This window comes from Homo sapiens, chromosome Y (genome assembly GCF_000001405.40).
Source record: "Homo sapiens chromosome Y, GRCh38.p14 Primary Assembly".
Classification (NCBI taxonomy): domain Eukaryota; kingdom Metazoa; phylum Chordata; class Mammalia; order Primates; family Hominidae; genus Homo; species Homo sapiens.
This window is the reverse complement of record NC_000024.10, coordinates 13,479,056-13,498,200: the sequence shown is the minus strand read 5'-3', so window position 1 is coordinate 13,498,200 and position 19,145 is coordinate 13,479,056. Positions and strand designations below refer to the sequence as shown.

Sequence of the window (19,145 nt, the reverse complement as noted above, 5' to 3'; positions counted from 1 at the left end):
AGGGTCTGCACTAAGGCAACAGCGGGACTACTATAGGGACCCCAGAACTGTGGAGTCATTTGCAGCATGTAACACCTGCCTGGGAAAGCTTCGGGCACTGAACTCTAACCCTCTGAGTAGCCACATGAGCTGCACCCAGCAAAGCCTCCATAGAAGTGGGGCTTCCTACAACCTTTGGGATTTATTCCTTATACCAGGGTGTCCACAAGGCAGCAAATGGAGTCAAAAGTTATTTCTCCAGCTTAAAATTTAATGTCTGCTGGGTTGGGTTTCAGATTTGCTTGGAACCCGTTACTTCTTTCTTTTGGAATAGAAATACCTACCTTATGCCTTTACCACTACTGCATCTTGGAAGTAAATACATTATTTAGATTTCACATTTGAGACTAGGAACTTTGGGCTTTTGAATTGATGCTGGAACAAGTTAAGGTGTTGAGACCATGGCAATGGAATAAATATTTGTGTGTGAGAAGACATTACTTCTCACATGCAAGTGGGGAGGACCAAGAATAAAATGCCATGGTTAAATATTTGTCCTCTTGAAAACTCATGTTTATACTTTATCCCTAGCATAGGTACTGAGAGGTGGAGTCTTTAAGAGCTGATGAGGTCATAAGGACTCTCTCCTCATGAATGCATTAATCTGTTTATGGATTAGTAGATTAGTGGGTTGGTAGATCATGGGTTTGCAACTCGTGGTTTTATTTTATTTTCATTTTATTGAGATGGAGTCTCGCCCTGTCGCCCAGACTGGAGTGCAATGGCAGGATCTCAGCTCACTGCAACCTCCATCTCCTGAGTTCAAACGATTCTCCTGCCTTAGCCTCCCAAAGTGCTGGAATTACAGGCATGACAACTGGTGGCTTTATAAGAAGAGGACAAGAGACCTAAGAAAGCACTCTCAGCTTTCTCACTATGTGATGTCCTGAATCTAACCATTTTGGGGTCTCAGCTTCTTTATCTGTCAAATGTGGCAATATCAGCCTTAATCTTATTGGGAAAAAATCAATAATAAAAGTTAAGATTTTGAGTTTAAAAAATTCCAGATATATTAATATGTACCTAACTTCAGAAGTTAAGTAACATTCCAAAGAGAGATGAGATCCATAACCATGTACACAGGCTTGTATTGTAAAGCTTGACAAAATGAGCTTAAATTTCTTGTGATGAGATCTCTCCACATTCAAAAAAGTTAAAAATGACATAAGAATTCTATACAAAGAGGAATGTCTTTCACTCTTCTTTCAGGAAGGGAAGAGAATGATATAAATATAAGCATCCAGATTCATTTTCCTTGGTATCTATGCCTCGCTCTCATAGCATTACCCCAAAATAATAAATTAGAGCATGTAACTCAAATTGTAATTCAGAGAAGCATGCAGTTGTTATTTGCTCTAAAGTAAATAATAATTAATCCAGTCTTCTCCACAGATTTTCTGTATTTGGGATAATATTAATGAAGATCAACATAAAAACTTAAAAATTAGCAGGGATGGTGGCTCACACCTGTAATCCCAGCTACTCAGAAGGCTGAATTAGGAGGATATTTTGAGCCCAGTAGTTCAAAGTCAGCCTGGGCAACACAGCATGATTCCATAATCCCCCACCCCAACAAAACTCAAAACTGAAAAAGCAAACCAACAATCCTTACAACTTTTACCAGAAAGGGGTCTTTATTTAGACCCCCAAGAGAGGATTTTTGGACCTCACGCAAGAAAGAATTCAGGGCAAGTACATAGAGTTAAGTGAAAGCAAGTCTATTAGGAAAGTATGGAAATAAAATAATGGCTACTCCATAGGCAGAGCAGTGGCATGGGCTGCCTGATTTAGTATACTTATAGTTATTTCCAGATTATATGCTAAACAAGAGGTGGATTATTCATGAGTTTTCTGGAAAAGTGGTAAGTAATTCCTAGAACTGGGTTGGGTGCAGTGGCTCACGCCTGTAATCCCAGCACTTTGGGAGGCCGAGGTAGGCGGATTACCTGAGGTTGGGAGTTCAAGACCAACCTGACCAACATGGAGAAACCCCATCTCTACTAAAAATACAAAATTAGCCCAGGTGGTGGCGCATGCCTGTAATCCCAGCTACTCAGGAGGCTGAGGCAGAAGAATCATTTGAACCCAGGAGGCAGAGGCTGAGGTGAGCCGAGATCATGCCATTGCACTCCAGCCTGGGAAACAAGAGCGAAACTCCATCTCAAAAAAAATAAAAAAAAATAAAAAAAATGAAAAAGAGATTCCTAGAACTAAGGGTTCCTCCCCTTTTTATAACATATAGGGTAATTTCCTGACATTGCCACGTCATCTTTCCACTCCTTATTATCTTGCATAACATATTAGTAATAGCTAACTTTATACCTCTCTATTTGTTGTTAGTTTAGCTGAGTTAAACATATCAAAGGAAAAGATAGATAACAAAGAGGACTTATATACTCTTTTGTGGAAACAGTTAGGAAAAGGTATAATGCCTTCTTTATTTGGAGTTAAAGAGAGTAAGTTAAAGATATTTTACATGTGTACCAATTTACAAATAGGGTGGACTATCGCATATGAATTTGGCTACGTTTGACAACAAATACTAGTAGTTTTTTCTTGTATTTTTTCCAGTTAGCATAGATTACAAGGGAAGAATCCATTGAGAGTTGGAAGCCTGATGTGAGAGGGATCAACTATTTTGTAGGTCACACACTATTGCTGATCTGCTGATTAATGTTGTTGGCATAAAGCAGTATCTGGCACTGACAATGTTCCTGCTCCTCCAGTATGTTTCTTCAGTTTTCTCTGATTGCTGAGCCAGGTGTTTGTGTGATTAGTCCTGTGACAAATGGTCCTATGTTTGACAGCATTCCCATATCATCAGAGACAAAAGGAACAGACATGAGTTTAAGTTCACCTTTGTGGGTTATCAGTTCATGACTGTGAGTTTCCTCTCACAGTCATGAAGTTCAAGTAGTAGATTATCTTCTCTTTCTGACCACCATCCTATGAATTTGCCAAAGTTGCTTGTGAGCTTAAGCAGTTTTTGGACTGAGACAATGGGGTTTTTTAAATATGGGTTGCTCTGATCTTAGTTTTTCTTGTCTTTTGCTTGCTTTTGAATTTGTTTGCTCTTGTTTCTCCAGTTCTTTAAGTTGTGATGTTAGTTAGGGTGTCAATTTTAGATCTTTCCCACTTTCTGATGTGGGCATTTAGTACTACAGATTTCCCTCTTAACGCTGTTTTAGCTGTGTCCCAGAGATTCTGGTAAGTGTGTCTTTGTTCTCATTGGTCTCAAAGAACTTATTTCTACCTTAATTTTATTATTTACCCAGTAGTCATTCAGGAGCAGGTTGTTCAGTTTCCATGTAGTTGAGCAGTTTGTTGAGTTTCTTAATCCTGAGTTCTAATTTGATTACTCTGTGGTCTGAGAGACTGTTATTATTTCCATTCTTTTGCATTTGCTGAGGAGTGTTTTACTTCCTTTTAAGTGATCAATTTTAGAATAAGTGCTTTGTGGTGCTGAGAAGAATGTATATTCTGTTGATTTGGGGTGGAGAGTTCTGTAGATTTCTATCGGTTTCGCTTGGTCCAGAGCTGAGTTCAAGTCCTGAATATCCTGATAAATTTTCTGTCTCGTCCACCTGTCTAATATTGACAGTGGGGTGTTAAAGTCTCCACTATTATTGTGTGGGGGTCGAGAGGAGGGAGTTCCCCTGCTCTTTGCAATTCCTGGATGAGGTGACTCCCCACCCTGCTTGTGCTCTCCCTCCATTGGCTGCACTCACTGTCTAATCAGTCAAAATGAGATGAACAGGGTACCTCAGTTGGAAATGCAGAAATTACCTGCTTCTGCGTTGCTCTTGCTGTGAGATGCAGACAGGAGCTGTTCCTATTAGGCTATCTTGCCAGCTGTCTCCCATGTAGCTTATTTTTAATATTAGGTTGTAATTTATACAAATCTCAAATCTTAAAAGGTCAAAGGTCACCTAGCAAAATCATGATTTATCTAGACTTTCTCATAGATCTATGTTGTTTATGTTATCCAAAATAGTTTTAAGACAGTTTACTGTTACGTCTAATTTTTACCAGCTCTTCTCATTTACCGGAATCAAAATGAGGGAAGAGAGAATCTCTCATATTGTTTTATATTGTTTTCTATTCAGTAACTGTTTTAAGAAAAAACAAGAAGGAAGTAAAACCAAAGACAGGTAGCCCAGTGCCAGGCCTGAAATCAGGCCTGGGCCTGCCTGGCCTAAGCCCAGTAGTTAAAAATCAACTCATAACTTAGAAACCGATGTTACTCATAGATTCCAGACACTGTATAAAACAACACTGTGAAACTCCCTGCCCTGTTCTGTTTCTCTCTGACCACTGGTGCATGCAGCCCCTGTCACATATCGCCTGCTTGCTCAAATCAATCACAACTCTTTCATGTGAAATCTTTAGTGTTGTGAGCCCTTAAAAAGGACAGAAATTGTGCATTTAGGGAGTTCAGATTTTAAGGCAGTAGCTTGCTGATGCTCCTAGCTGAATAAAGCCCTTCATTCTACAACTCCGTGTCTGAGAGGTTTTGTCTGCGGCTTGTACTGCTACAATAAAGATTATCTAATTGGGGCTGGGCATAGTGGCACTCATCTGTAATCCCAGCACTTTAGGAAGCAGAGATGGGAGGACTGCTTGATCCCAGGAGTTCAAGACAAGTCTGGGCAATGTGTGGGGATCTTCTTTCTATAAATAGTTAAAAAATTAGCCAGTTATGGTGGTCCCTACCTGTAGTCCCAGCTAGTGGGAAGGCTGAGGGAGGACAACCCCTTGAGCCCAGGAGGTCGAGGCTGTAGTAAATGGTGATTGATTGCATTGTCTCTTTAAAAAAAAAAAAATAGCCAGGCATAGTGGCCAAGGCAAGCAGATCACTTGGGATTGCTTGAGCCTAGCAGATTGAAACCAGCCTAGGCAACATAGCAAGACCCCACCTCTACAAAAAATAAAAAATTAACCAGGCTTGGTGGTGCACGCCTGTAGTCCCAGCTACTTGGAAGGCTGACATGGGGAGAATCACTTCAGATCAAAAGGTAGAGGCTGCATTTAGCTATGATTATGTGAATCTGGGCAACAGAGCAAGATCCTATCTCTAAAGAACAAATGAAAGGAACCATAAGGTTGGAAATTTAGGCAAGACCATGTAGAGTATAGAATGGCGCACCAAAAAAATCAAAGTTTAAAATGAGCTACTAAGGGCTCTGAACTTTCATTTTACTACCTTCCAGCCAGTTTCAGGCAAATAATAAAAATAACAGTAGTGTGGTAGTTGTTGCTGTTTTATTTATTTTGTAATTTAAAAAATTATTTATTTATATTTTGAGATCATGGCTAACTGCAGCCTCAAACTCCTAAGCTCAAGTGGTCCTCTTACCTTAGCCTCCCAGGTAAGTAGGACTACAAGTACACACCACTAAGCCGGGCTAACTTTATTTTTTGTAGAGAGGAGGTCTCCCTGTGTTTCTTAGGCCTGTCTCCAACTCCTGGGCTCAAGTGATTCTCCTGCTTCAGCCTCACAATGTGTTGGGATTACAGGCATGAGCCACTAGACCCAGCCTTGCTACTGTTGTAAACAGAGGTTTCTTTCACTGACCTCAGGGCTGGCACCAAGCTCAATAAATATTGGCTAGTTGGCTGACAGATATTTATAAGGTAGCTGTTATATCCTTTTCATTTGTTTTAATCTTTTTTTTTTTTTTTTTTTTGAGATGGTGTTTCACTCTTGTCACCCAGGCTGGAATACAACGGTATGATCTTGTCTCACTTCAACCTCCACCTCCTGGGTTTGAGCGATTCTCCTGCCTCAGACTCCCAGGTAGCTGGAACTACAGGTGCATGCCACCATGTCAGGCCAATTTTTGTATTTTTAGTAGGGTTTCACCATGTTGTTCAGGCTGGTCTGTAACTCCTGACCTCACGTGATCCACCTGCCTCAGCTTCCCAAAGTGCGGGGATTACAGACATGAGCCACTGCACCCAGCCATTTGTTTTACTCCTTACATGGTTTTAAAAGAGTTTAGAACAACATGGTGGTCTATTAATGCTACTGTCAACTTCAGAACAGTAAGTAAAAAAGCCCATGTATTTGGATTACAAAAAGTATTAGTTACATGAGTCTTTAGTATTATTGTCTCAAAAAGCTTTAATCTTGCAATCATATCTTTGTCAAAAATTGAGAACATAGCACAATTTTAATTTGTTCAATTACCTTATGATCCAATTAATATAAAAATCATATTCACAAACCTGAGTTTAGGTAGCCATCTCTATTTGCTACATGTACATTAAAGCTTGTTTGTTCTACGTAAATATCCAACAATAGGCAGTTCAATAATCTATAAATTAAATGCACCAAAAGAGGCCTCTCCTTTTTAAAAAATCATGAATTAATAGCATTATTATCATATGACTTTAGAATTTCCTATCTTATGTATAAGTTGGGAACAAATGTCCAAATATTTGCATTCTCTTACTATAGTAGAATGCTTTACCTTACACAGATCCAGACCTCTACACAGGAGAGGATCAAAGTAAACTTACCTAACTGGCAATTATTGAGAATACTCTTTTAATATTATTAATATTGGTCCTCAAGCCTATTTCCTATCCTAAATCTTCTAATCAATGGTAGAAATAATTAGACAATTGAAAAAAGGCAAGAGATATTATTGACTCTGGAAAACATCAATAATCTTAGAAATCAAAACTTAGAAATGAAGTCTTAATGATTAGCTAATGGTATTCTTTGGTGCCCTGAGCTCCACCATACTTCAGAGCTCCTCGAAGTGAGGACAGGGTATAGTGTAAAAGAAGTTCAATATAGAGCAATTCTAAATCTGTTATATAAAAGACATAGGGAGCAGTCCACAAAACAGCTAATTTAAAACAGGATTATCTTGTTAGAGAACAATTTGAAAATCATGGTCATGTACATATGAACACAGACCCACATAGGGTCATTTGGTGAACTAATGGGAAACTTTGAACCTGAACCAGAATATCTCAATATTAAAAATTTTAAATAAATGATTATAAATTAACCTTTAGATTTTTCTATGTATGAAGTATATAGTAATGTTTGTAGTATTTTTTACACACATTGAGTCCAAAATACCCATGAGTCTTAAGCATAGCAGGGTTCCATGTTGAGAGCCCAGCCCTGACCAGATTGCACCCTGCCTGGGGGCCAAAAACCCCAACATCTCCTCATCCCTGGATCCTCATTGACATCCACTACCCAAAGACATAGCCCTGCCTCCAGGGCTGAAGCATAAGCCATTGTCAGTGACCTGGCCCCCATTCATGCCCTTTGTACTTTTTCCCACCCTAACAAAGAGTGTTAAAAGAATTTTTCCACTTTTTGTAATGAGACATGCTTAAATAACCTAAGAAATATTCTGCCTTAAAACAATAGAAAGAGGGGAAGGAGCTTTAAAATGTCTGACCAGGGAGAACTGCTACTCATCTCCATGGCAAAGAACCAAAATAGCAAATAATCTCTTCAAATAGATCACATAAGAAAGAACACTGAAATTCAACACAGAAGTATTAAGCAACACATAAAGCAAGGAATGAGAGGGAAATTAGGCAGCCTGCTTGGCTGGGATTGGCTGGGATCCTGGAGAGGCACCTCAATTCAGGAAAAGGGTAAATTAAAGACTCCCAGTGGTCCATATTCTCACCATGGACTTCTGCAATTCTAGCTATGGGAGAAGCCATCAATCCCCACAGGCCTTAATATTAACACAGGCTCCTGGAGACCACACCATGGCACTGGTTCAGAGACGGAGCTTACACTAGGTCCCACACACCCATGAGTCCTAAGCACAGCAAGGTGCCATATTGAGAGGCCAGCCCTGACCAGATTGTACCCTGCCTCGGGGCCCAAACGCCCCAGGGTCTCCATATCCCTGGATCCTCCTGGACATCTGCCATACACAGATATAGCCTCAGTTGGCTGCTGCCTCCAGAGCTGAAGCACAAGCCATTGACAGTGACCTTACCCCTGACTCATGCCCTTTGCTCTTCCCAGTTACTCCCACTGCTCCCACTGCCTCTGAAATGAAGCTGCCACACATTTACAAGTGCCCTGAGGACAAACTCCTTCTCAGTCTGTGCCTACTGTGGGATGGTACCGATGGAGCCAAACCACAAGAAATGTGTATAATTTCCAATTGCCAGCATATGTCTGCTGCCATTGGAAGCAATCCTATACTTCCCAGGAGGAGGGCTGCAGCATTTCCACTGGGAATTGGAGCATCCCACCAAAGACACAGGGATCACCCTGATCCTGCCTACAACACCCAGCACCTGCATGAACCACTGAGGGACCTGAACAGGCCCATCTGACCTCTATTCTGCCCCTCAAATACCCAACCATGCTCTCCTGGGTACTGGGGATTTCCCAACCCAGTCAACCACCACAGGCACCTGGGCACTTCTCCCAGGATCCTGGGGTCAAGCCCAGCCAATCTGCCCCTACCACCACAGTGAATAGCCAGTTGCATGTGCTATATACAGTCTTGGGGTCTGGCTCATCCACCCTGTTACAACCATTGCCAACACAAGTGTGGACTATTTGGGAGTCAGAGAGTTATGCTACTACTGTTACTGCCGTTACTCATACTGTTGCAGGAATCAGAGGACCAGATGGACCAAATGGGTTTTACAGGAGGATTTTTATTAAGATGTACACTGGCTCAGTGGATTTGCATCCAAAAAAACTGAGCTCAGAACAAAGGGTTACAGAAGCAGAAATAAAGACAGTTAATCAAACAGTGACAGATCTCATAATCTCTAGCATAGCTTGTGGTATTGCAGCTGCATCAAAGGAGAAACAGGACCTTACAAAACTTGCAAAATATTTATGGAAAGTGGGTAAAGGGCTAAAAGAGGAATTTTATTTTTCTTTTTCTTATGTTGGGGAGTGCTGGGAGGGTCTCCAGAGCACATTCCTTTTGGGTCTTGACTTCTTGGTGTTTTCAGGACCTTGCCCGGGCCTGGGCTGTGTCTGTTACTGATTTTTGGGATGAGACAGGCTAACACAGGAACTTGTTTTTCTCTTTTGGTTTTTATTTCTTCTTTCTCTAATTTCCACCTCAATACCACATGTACTTCCCAGTGGTCTAGAATCCACCCACCCACCTGGCCACTGCTACCACTATCAGCACCTGAACAAGCTGGGCCCACTAACACTGCTGCCAGGATATGCCACTCTTGGGCTCAAGCACAGGCCTATCTGGCATCCTCATTCACAGCAAAACTTCAAGACAGCCTCCACTAACGGCCACACCCTGAGCAACAGAGGAAATCAAAGATAGCACTGACATTGTTTACACCTAAAGAAATCATATGGAGACTCCACTACTACCCACATCTAGAATGAAAGCCAAAGTGCCATACCCAACCAAAACCATAGATATATATTTAGAAAAAAATCTCCCTAGTGAAAGCATATTTTAAAAATTAGAAAAGGCAACTATTACACCAGATACTCAGAGAGCAGCATAAAGACACAAGAAACATAAATAAACAAGGAAAGGTAACCTTTGTAAAGGGACACAGTAATACCTCAGCAACAGATTCCAATGAAAAAGAACCTTATTAAAACCCAGATAAAGAATTCAAAATTATGATATGAAGCTCAGTGACATAGAAGAGTATAGACAAAAATAGTTATAAATATAAATGAGAAATTTATAAACAAATAGCTACCATAGGCAAAGAAACAAATAGAGGATGAGATGGATGGAATTGACAGAAGTAGGCTTCAGAAGGTGGGTAATAACAAACTCCACTGAGCCAAAGGAGCATGGTCTAAACCAGTGCAAAGAAGCCAAGAACCTTGATATAAGGTTACAGGAGCTGCTAAGTAGAATAACCAGTTTAGAGAGGAACATATATGACATGATAGAGCTGAAAAACACAGCACAAGAACTGCATTAAGCATACACAAGTATCAATAGCTGAATTGATCAAACGGAAGAAAGGATATCGGAGTGAAGACCATCTTGCTTAAATAAGGCATGCAGACAAGATTAGACAAAAAAGAATGAAAAGGAACAAATAAAACCTCTAAGAAATATGGGACTATGTAAAAAGACCAAACCTATAAGTGATTGCAGTACCAGAAAGAGACAGGGAGAATGGAGCCAAGTTAGGAAACACACCTCAGGATATTATCCAGAAAACTTCCCCAACCTAGCAAGACAGGCCAACATTCAAACTCAGGAAATACAGAGAACACCACCAAGATACTCCATGAGAAGATCAACCCCAAGATACATAATCATCAGATTCTCTAAGGTTGAAATTAAAAAAAAAAATGTTAAGGGTAGTCAGAGAGAAAGGTCAGGTCACTTACAGAGGGAAGCCAATTAGACTAACAGCAGATCTCTCAACAGAAACCCTACAAGCTAGAAGAGTGTTGCCAATATTCAACTTTCTTAAAAAAAGGAATTTTCAACCCAGAATTTCATATCCAGCCAAACCAACCTGCATAAATGAAGGAGAAATAAAATCCTTTACAGACAAGCAAATGCTAGGGGATTTTTGTCACCACGAAGCCTGCCTTGCAAGAGATGCTGAAGGTAGCATTAAATATGGAAAGGAAAAACTGGCAGCAGCCACTGCAAAAACACACCAAAATATATAGACCAATGACACTATGAGGAAACTGCATCAACTAGTGTGCAAAATAACCAGCTAGTATCATGATGACAGGCTCAGATTTATACATAATAATATTAACCTTAACTATAAATTGGGCTAAATGGCCCAATTGAAAGACACGGACTGGCAAATTGGACAAAGCGTCAAGACTCATCCCTGTGCTGTATTCAGGAGACCCATCTGATGTGCAAAGACACTCATAGCCTCAAAATAAAGGGATGGAAGAAAATTCACCAAGAAAACGGAAAGCAAGAAAAAGCAGAGGTTGCAATCCTAGTCTCTGATAAAACAGATTTTAAACCAACAAAGATAAAAAAAGACAAAAGAATAGCATTACATTGTGGTAAAGGGATCTGTTCAACAGGAAGCACTAACTATACTAAATATATATGCACCAATACAGGAGCACTCAGATTCATAAAACAAGTTCTTAAGAGACCTATAAAGAGACTTAGACTTCTACACAATAATAGTGGGAGAATTTAACACTCCACTCTCAGTATTAGACAGTTCCATAAGAAAGAAAATTAACAAGGATATTTAAGAATTGAACTGAGCTCTGCATCAAGTGGACCTAATAGATATCTGCAGAACTCTCCACCCCAAATCAACAGAATATTCATTCTTCCAGTACCACATGAAACTTACTCTAGAATCAACCACAGAATTGGAAGTAAAACATTCCTCAGCAAATGCAAAAGAACTGAAATCATAACAGTATCTTACACCACAGTGAATCAAATTAGAACGCAGGATTAAGAAACTCAACAAAACCACTCAACTACATGGAAACTGAAAAACCTGCTCCTGAATAACTAATGGGTAAATAAAGAAATTAAGGCAGAAATAAATAAGTTCTTTAAAACCAATGACAACAAAGACACAATGTACCAGAATCTCTGGGACACAGCTAAACCAATGTTTAGAGGGAAATTTACAGCACTAAATGCCCACATCAGACAGTGGGAAAGATTTAAAATCGACACCCTAACATCACAATTTAAAGAACTAGAGAAACTAGAGCAAACAAATTCAAAAGCAAGTAGAAAATAAGAAATAACTAAGATAAGAACAGAACTGAAGGAGACAGACACACAAAAAAAACCCTTCAAAAAATCAATGAATCCAGGATCTGTTTTTTTAAAAAGATTAACCAAATAGATAAAATGCTAGACAGACTAATAAAGAAGAAAACAGAGAAGAATCATATAGACACAATAAAATAGGATAAGGGGATATCACCACTGTTCCCACAGAAATACAAACTACCACCAGAGAATACTATAAACACCTCTATGTAAATAAACTGGAAACCCTAGAAGAAGGGTTTATTTGTCCAGGACAAATAAACCCTCCCAAGACTAAACCAGGAAGAAGTCGAATCCCTGAATAGACCAATAACTAGCTCTAATATTGAGGCAGTAATTATTTAATAGCCTACTAACCAAAAAAAAGCACGGGACCAGATGGATTCACAGCCCAATTCTACTAGTGCTACAAAGAGGAGCTGGTACCATTCCTTCTGAAACGATTCCAAACAACAGAAAAAGAAGGAGTCCTCCCCAACTCATTTTATGAGGCAAGCATCATACTGATACCAAAACCTGGCACAGGCACAACAAAAAAAGAAAATTTCAGGCCAATATGCCTGATGAACATCGATGCGAAAATCCTCAATAAAATACTGCAAACTGAGTCCAGCAGCACATCAAAAAGCTTATCCGCCACTATCAAGTTAGCTTCATCCCTAGGATGCATGGCTGGCTCAACATACGCAAATCAGCAAAAGCAATCCATCACATAAACAGAACCAATGACGAAAACCACATGATTATCTCAATAGATGCCGAAAAGGCTTTTGATAAAATTCAACACCACTTCATGCTAAAAACACTCAATAAACTAGGTATTGAGGGAACATATTTCAAAATAATAAGATCTGTTTATGACAAACCCATAGCCAATAAAATACTGAATAGGAAAAAGCTGGAAGCATTCCCTTTGAAAATCACCACAAGACAAGATTGCCCTCTTTCACCATTCCTATTCCACATAGTATTGGAAGTTCTGGCCAGGGAAATCAGGCAAGAGAAAGAAATAAAGCATACTGAAATAGGAAGAGAGAAGGTCAAATTGTCTTTGTTTGTAGATGACATGATTATATATTTTGAAAACCCCATCGTCTCAGTCCAAAAACCGCTTAAGCTCATAAGCAACTTCGGCAAAGTCTCAGGATACAAAATCAATGCGCAAAAGTCACAAGCATTTCTATACACCAATAATGGACAAACAGAGAATCAAATCATCTGTGAACTCCCATTCAGAATTGCTACAAAGAAAATAAAATACCTAGCAATACAACTTACAGAGATGTGAAGGGGCCTCTTCAAGGAGAAATACAAACCACTGCTCAAGGAAATAAGAAAGGACACAAAGAAATGGAAAAACATTCCATTCTAATGGATAGAAAGAATGAATATCATGAAAATAACTGTAATGCTCAAAGTAATTTATAAATTCAATGCTATTCCCATCAAGCTACCACTGACTTTCTTCACAGAACTAGAAAAAACTACTTCAAATTTAATATGGAACTAAAAAGAGCCCACATAGCCAAGAGAATCCTAAGCAAAAAGAACAAAGCTGGAAGCATCATGCTGTCTGACTTCAAACTATACTACAAGGCTACAGTAACAAAAACAGCATGGTACTGGTACCAAAACAGATATATAGACCAATGGAACAGATCAGAGGCCTCAGAAATAACATCACACAACTACAACCATCAGATCTTTGACAAACATGACAGAAAGAAACAACGGGGAAAGGATTTTCTATTTATTAATGGTGCTGGGAAAACTGGCTAGCCATATGCAGAAAACTGAAGCTGGACCCCTTCCTTATGCCTTATACAAAAATTAACTCAAGAAGGAAAACTGGCTAGCCATATGCAGAAAACTGAAGCTGGATCCCTTCCTTATGCCTTATACAAAAATTAACTCAAGATGGATTAAAGACTTAAACATAAGGCCTAAAAACCATAAACACCCTAGAAGCAAACCTAGGCAATATCATTTAGGACACAGACATGGGCAAAGGCTTCATGACTAAAAGCAATGGCAACAAAAGCCAAAATTGACAAATGGGATTTAATTAAACTAAAAAGCCTCTGCACTGTAAACGAAACTATCGTCAGACTGAGCAGGCAACGTACAGAATGGGAGAAAAATATTGCAATCTATCCATCTGACAAAGGACTAATATCCAGAATCTATGAGGAACTTAAACAAATTTACAAGAAAAAACCAAACAGCCCCATCAAAAAATGGGTGAAGGATATGAACAGACACTTCTCAAAAGAAGACATTTATGTGGCCAATATACCTATGACAAAAAGCTCAACTTCACTGTTCATTAAAGAAATGGAAATCAAAACCACAAGAGATGCCATCTCATGCCAGTTATAATGGTGATCAATCATTAAAAAGTCAGGAAACAGACCAGGTGCAGTGGCTGACACCTGTAATCCCAGCACTTTGGGAGGCCGAGGCGGGCGGATCACAAGGTCAGGAGAGTGAGACCATCCTTGCTAACACGGTGAAACCCCGTCTCTACTAAAAAATACAAAAAGTTAGCCGGGTGCAGTGGTGGGCACCTGTAGTCCCAGCTACTTGGGAGGCTGAGGCAGGAGAAAGGCATGAACCCGGGAGGCGGGGCTTGCAGTGAGCTGAGATCACGCCACTGCACTCTGGGCAACAGAGACTCCATCTCAAAAAAAAAGTCAGGAAACAACAGATACTTGCAAGTACATGGAGAAACAGGAATGCTTTTATGCTGTTGGTGGAAGTGTAAATTATTTCAACCATTGTAGAAGACAGTGTGGCAACTCCTCAGGTATCTCGAACCAAAAATACTATCTGACCCAGCAATCCTATTACTGGGTATACACCCAAAGGATTATAAATTATTCTACTATAAAGACACATGCCCATGTATGTGTACTGCAGCACTATTTACAATAGCAAAGACTTGGAACCAACCCAAATGCCTATCAATGATAGACTGGATAAACAAAATCCAGCATATACATAACATAGAATTCTATGCAGCCATAAAAAAAGAATGAGTTAATATCCTTTGCAGGGACATGAATGAAGCCAGAAGCCATGATTCTCAGCAAACTAACACAGGAATAGAAAACCAAACACCACATATTCTCACTCATAATTGGGAATTGAACAATGAGAACAGACGGACACAGGGAGGGGAACATCACACACTTGGGCCCTATCGGGGGTGGGGTTCAAGGGGAAGGAGAACATTAGAACAAATACCTAATGAATGAAGAGCTTAAAATCTAGATGACAGGTTGATTGGTGCAGGAAACTACCATGGCACATATATACCTGTGTAACAAACCTGCACGTTCTGCACATGTATCCCAGAACTTAAAGTATAATAAATAAATAAATTTAAAAAATAAGCTACATGCATTCACATATATCAGGTTAAATGGTTATATCCTCTAATTTTCCGATAATTAATGCTCATTTTTGTTACTTCTTCTTTTGCTATACCACCCTACCTTCCATGTGTTGTTATACTAAATTTTTTTTTAAAAATAATATAAAGTCATTAGTCTAGTCTCTTCAGGGAATAACCTAAATCTGAATGCTTTATACCCATTTCACATACATGTGACAAATTATACACTACAAAGGGTACAAATAATAAGCCTTTTATCAGTATACATATTTTTGTATCTTTTGTAGTTACATTTTATAAACCAGGTAAGATCCAAAAAGTTACATAGAATGTAAGGCCTTAATGTTATATACTGTCTGATTTATAATCTGCCAAATGTACATGAAGGTATGAGGATGGATGCAGCTTTGTATTTACATTCGATATATAATGTTGGGTTAGAGATTAGCTAATTTTTCCAAGGTACAGCCTGTACAGAGCCAGAATTCAAATTCATTCTTTACTGCAATTTCTGTCCCACCTCTATGTTGCTCTATCACTTTGTAATAATTACCTGCCTCAAGTGAGACAGGTAGGCCTTATTCCTGGAAAAGGCCATATTCTACATTATTTGAATGTCTGCTTGTGCAAATGTATGCATATTATCAAAAACCTCTTGGTGTGATGGCCACCACTATGACAATTAATATACTTACTAATATACTTATGACAATTAATATAACATTTTCAATAGTACAGCTACTGAAAATATTCTGTGGTGTAGCGATTCAACTGAAATGGAATGAGTAAAGAACATGATAGACTATAATCTATAAAATCAGAGTTAGTTGTTAGTTTCAAAATAACAATGAAAACACGTGTTACTGAGCAAAATCAGCTGGGATTTCCAAAACTCTCACTAGTGTTATAGTTTTTTGTCTGGAAGTTCTAAACTGTCCTCTCATTTAAACATCAAAGTTTAAATATATAATACCTATTTTTGGAGGAGGCAAATCTATTACTTAAAAAAAGATACCATTTCTTCACTTATAAAGGAACATTTCCCCTAATGCCATTAATAATTAACATTTTTGTAATATCTAATATCTGGAGGTATAACCAGTAAACTATTTGATACATGGAATATTATGCAATTTGTCTTTTGAAAACAGTAATCAACAGAGGCGTTTAATATATATGAGACTTTTTATAGATTCTTTACATAGAAAAATATACACAATTCCTCAACATACATATGCCATATAATATGAGAAAAAAAAATTAATCTTGGGATCCCAAAATCACTAAGTAACGGAAAAGTCAAGCTGGGAACTATGTCACTAAACTTGCCTCCCATTTTATTCCTAAATAAGATACGTACAAAGATAAGAAGCTACATACGTTCCTCACAACGTGCCCACAAGGAAATTCCTTGTGGACAAAGGACAGACCCAACTCAAAGTTATCCCTGTGAGGCGCACAAGAGACAACTGCATATCTGATTGCTTCCTCTGCCTTATTATTTATTTATGTAAAAATACAGAGTTACTAGCCGGACTAAATTCTGTATTCAGTAGGAGGCTGATCAAGGACTCAAAAGCATGCAAACTCTTGTCTCTTATCTACATTTTTTTTTTTTTTTTTTTTTTTGAGACGGAGTTTTGCTCTTGTTGCCCAGGCTGGAATGCAATGGTGCCATCTCGGCTCACCGCAACCTCCGCCTCTTGGGTTCAAGCGATTCGCCTGCCTCAGTCTTCAGAGTAGCTGAGATTACAGGCATGCGCCACCATGCTCTGTTAATTTTGTATTTTTAGTAGAGACGGGGTTTTTCCATGTTGGTGACGCTGGTCTGAAACTCCCAACGTTAGGTCATCTGCCCGCCTCGGCCTCCCAAAGTGCTGGGATTACTGGCGTAAACCACAGCGCCCGACCTGTCTCTTATCTATTTCTAACATGGAAGCCCCCGCTTCGAGCTGTCCCTCTTACCTGACCGAACCAATCATGTTTCCCTAAAACGTACAAAAGCAAGCTGTGCCCTGACCACCTTGGGCAAATGTATCATGGGTAAGTCTTGCAAAATAAACTTTTTAAATTGACTAAGACCTCTCTCAGATATTTGGGGTTCAGAAATAAATTCTTTTACCTATTATTTATAATTTTGGTTACAATTGAGAAAGTAAGAAAAAAGTGGTGTTTTTTTCTTTTCTAAGGGTTACTGCATCTTGAAAGTGTGATGAAGGTCTTAATTATTGTTCTTATAATTCCTGTCCACAGAAGCTCCTACTCTTACTGAGACCTCACGGAATTATCATTATCACAATAGAAATAAACATTTTGGGTTTGTGGAGTAACTTTTTTTTTTTTTTTTTTTTTTGCTCATCGTTTGTTGTTTAGATAATATCATGAACTGATAAATGCAGTTGCCACGTTGATTCCCTAGGGCCTGGCTTACCGACTGAGGTCATAAGATATTATGCCTTCTCTTTAGACTTGGTCAGTGGAGAGGAAATGGGCAAAGAACCAGCCTATGGAGGTGACAAGGCCTTAGGGCCAAAAGTCTTGAGGGTGAAGGTTTAGGGCCTGCGCAGCTTCCCTGCCATGCCCCGCAAGGTCTCGCATTCGCAAGGCTTGTGACAGTGGGAGCCTCATTACGGACTCTCCTAAAGTCCATGGTGTCCTCTTTTCGCATTTGCGCCCCGTGGGTGATGCCCGATGCCGCCCTTCCCATCGCTCTCTTCCCCTTCAAGCGTATCGCAACTGCAAAAACACCCAGCACAGACACTCCATTTTCTATCTTAATGCATTTAACTAGCACAACCTACAGGTTGTTCCATCCCAGAGACTACCCTTTTCTCCATAGACGTGACCATCAACCAACCAGCGGTCAGAATCAGTCAGCCTCTGTCATGTTCCTAGGTCCTTGGCGAACTGGCTGGGCGGGGTCCCAGCAGCCTAGGAGTACAGTGGAGCAATGCCTGACGTAAGTCAACAAAGATCACGTGAGACGAATCAGTCGCCTAGATTGGCTACAACTAAGTGGTTGGGAGCGGGGAGGTCGCGGCGGCTGCGTGGGGTTCGCCCGTGACACAATTACAACTTTGTGCTGGTGCTGGCAAAGTTTGTGATTTTAAGAAATTCTGCTGTGCTCTCCAGCACTGCGAGCTTCTGCCTTCCCTGTAGTTTCCCAGATGTGATCCAGGTAGCCGAGTTCCGCTGCCCGTGCTTCGGTAGCTTAAGTCTTTGCCTCAGCTTTTTTCCTTGCAGCCGCTGAGGAGGCGATAAAATTGGCGTCACAGTCTCAAGCAGCGATTGAAGGCGTCTTTTCAACTACTCGATTAAGGTTGGGTATCGTCGTGGGACTTGGAAATTTGTTGTTTCCATGAAATCCTGCGCAGTGTCGCTCACTACCGCCGCTGTTGCCTTCGGTGATGAGGCAAAGAAAATGGCGGAAGGAAAAGCGAGCCGCGAGAGTGAAGAGGAGTCTGTTAGCCTGACAGTCGAGGAAAGGGAGGCGCTTGGTGGCATGGACAGGTACGCACCTCCATCACCCGCCTGGTTGGCTGGCGATACTCTCCGGGAAGGCCTGGACGCAGCTTGCCCACGTTGATGACGGGGTCATCCTCAGCTTGGCACTCACCAATCTGTCGCTGTCGCTCTTGGACTCGGGAAGGAGCAAGTCACTGGCTTTCTCAGACCATTAACAAGCTCTGTGTCTCTCTCTCTACAGCCGTCTCTTCGGGTTCGTGAGGCTTCATGAAGATGGCGCCAGAACGAAGACCCTACTAGGCAAGGTAAAAGCAACCAGACGCAAAGTCTTTGGTCCGCACTTTGCTCTACCAAGGCCCCGCGTTCCTTACCGCCCAGCCAGTATTTATTTTGGCTCTGCTCCATGGCCAAGGGGTCGGAAAAGTGTTTCTTGCCTTTGCTGTCCCCGTACTCTGGAATACTTCGCCCCTTGCTCCAGACTCCCTTCTACTCTGAGGAAAAAA

General features: G+C 40.2%; 1 protein-coding gene and 1 non-coding gene across 124 annotated transcripts in view; one reads left to right on the top strand and one right to left on the bottom strand.

Annotated features, from left to right (window-relative positions):
• The first annotated feature begins 17,530 nt into the window (after nucleotides 1-17,530).
• UTY (ubiquitously transcribed tetratricopeptide repeat containing, Y-linked) overlaps nucleotides 17,531-19,145 on the top strand; it is a 246,776-nt gene continuing 245,161 nt past the window's right edge. For 105 of the 123 annotated variants that reach the window (NR_047613.1, NR_047627.1, NR_047602.1 and 102 more), the window contains exons 1-2: nucleotides 17,531-18,687; nucleotides 18,884-18,947. Coding sequence is in view for 67 of the 123 variants with exons in the window: in XM_011531448.4 (XP_011529750.1) it covers nucleotides 18,536-18,687; nucleotides 18,884-18,947 (216 nt within the window). In the remaining 56 variants the exon portion in view is untranslated. The remainder of the gene's footprint in view (nucleotides 18,688-18,883; nucleotides 18,948-19,145) is intronic. The other 18 variants (NR_174404.1, NR_174405.1, NM_001400173.1 and 15 more) reach the window with 1 other exon arrangement.
• Nucleotides 18,935-19,024, bottom strand: MIR12120 (microRNA 12120). Its single transcript, NR_162134.1, has one exon. It is a non-coding gene; the product is annotated as a microRNA 12120 (primary transcript).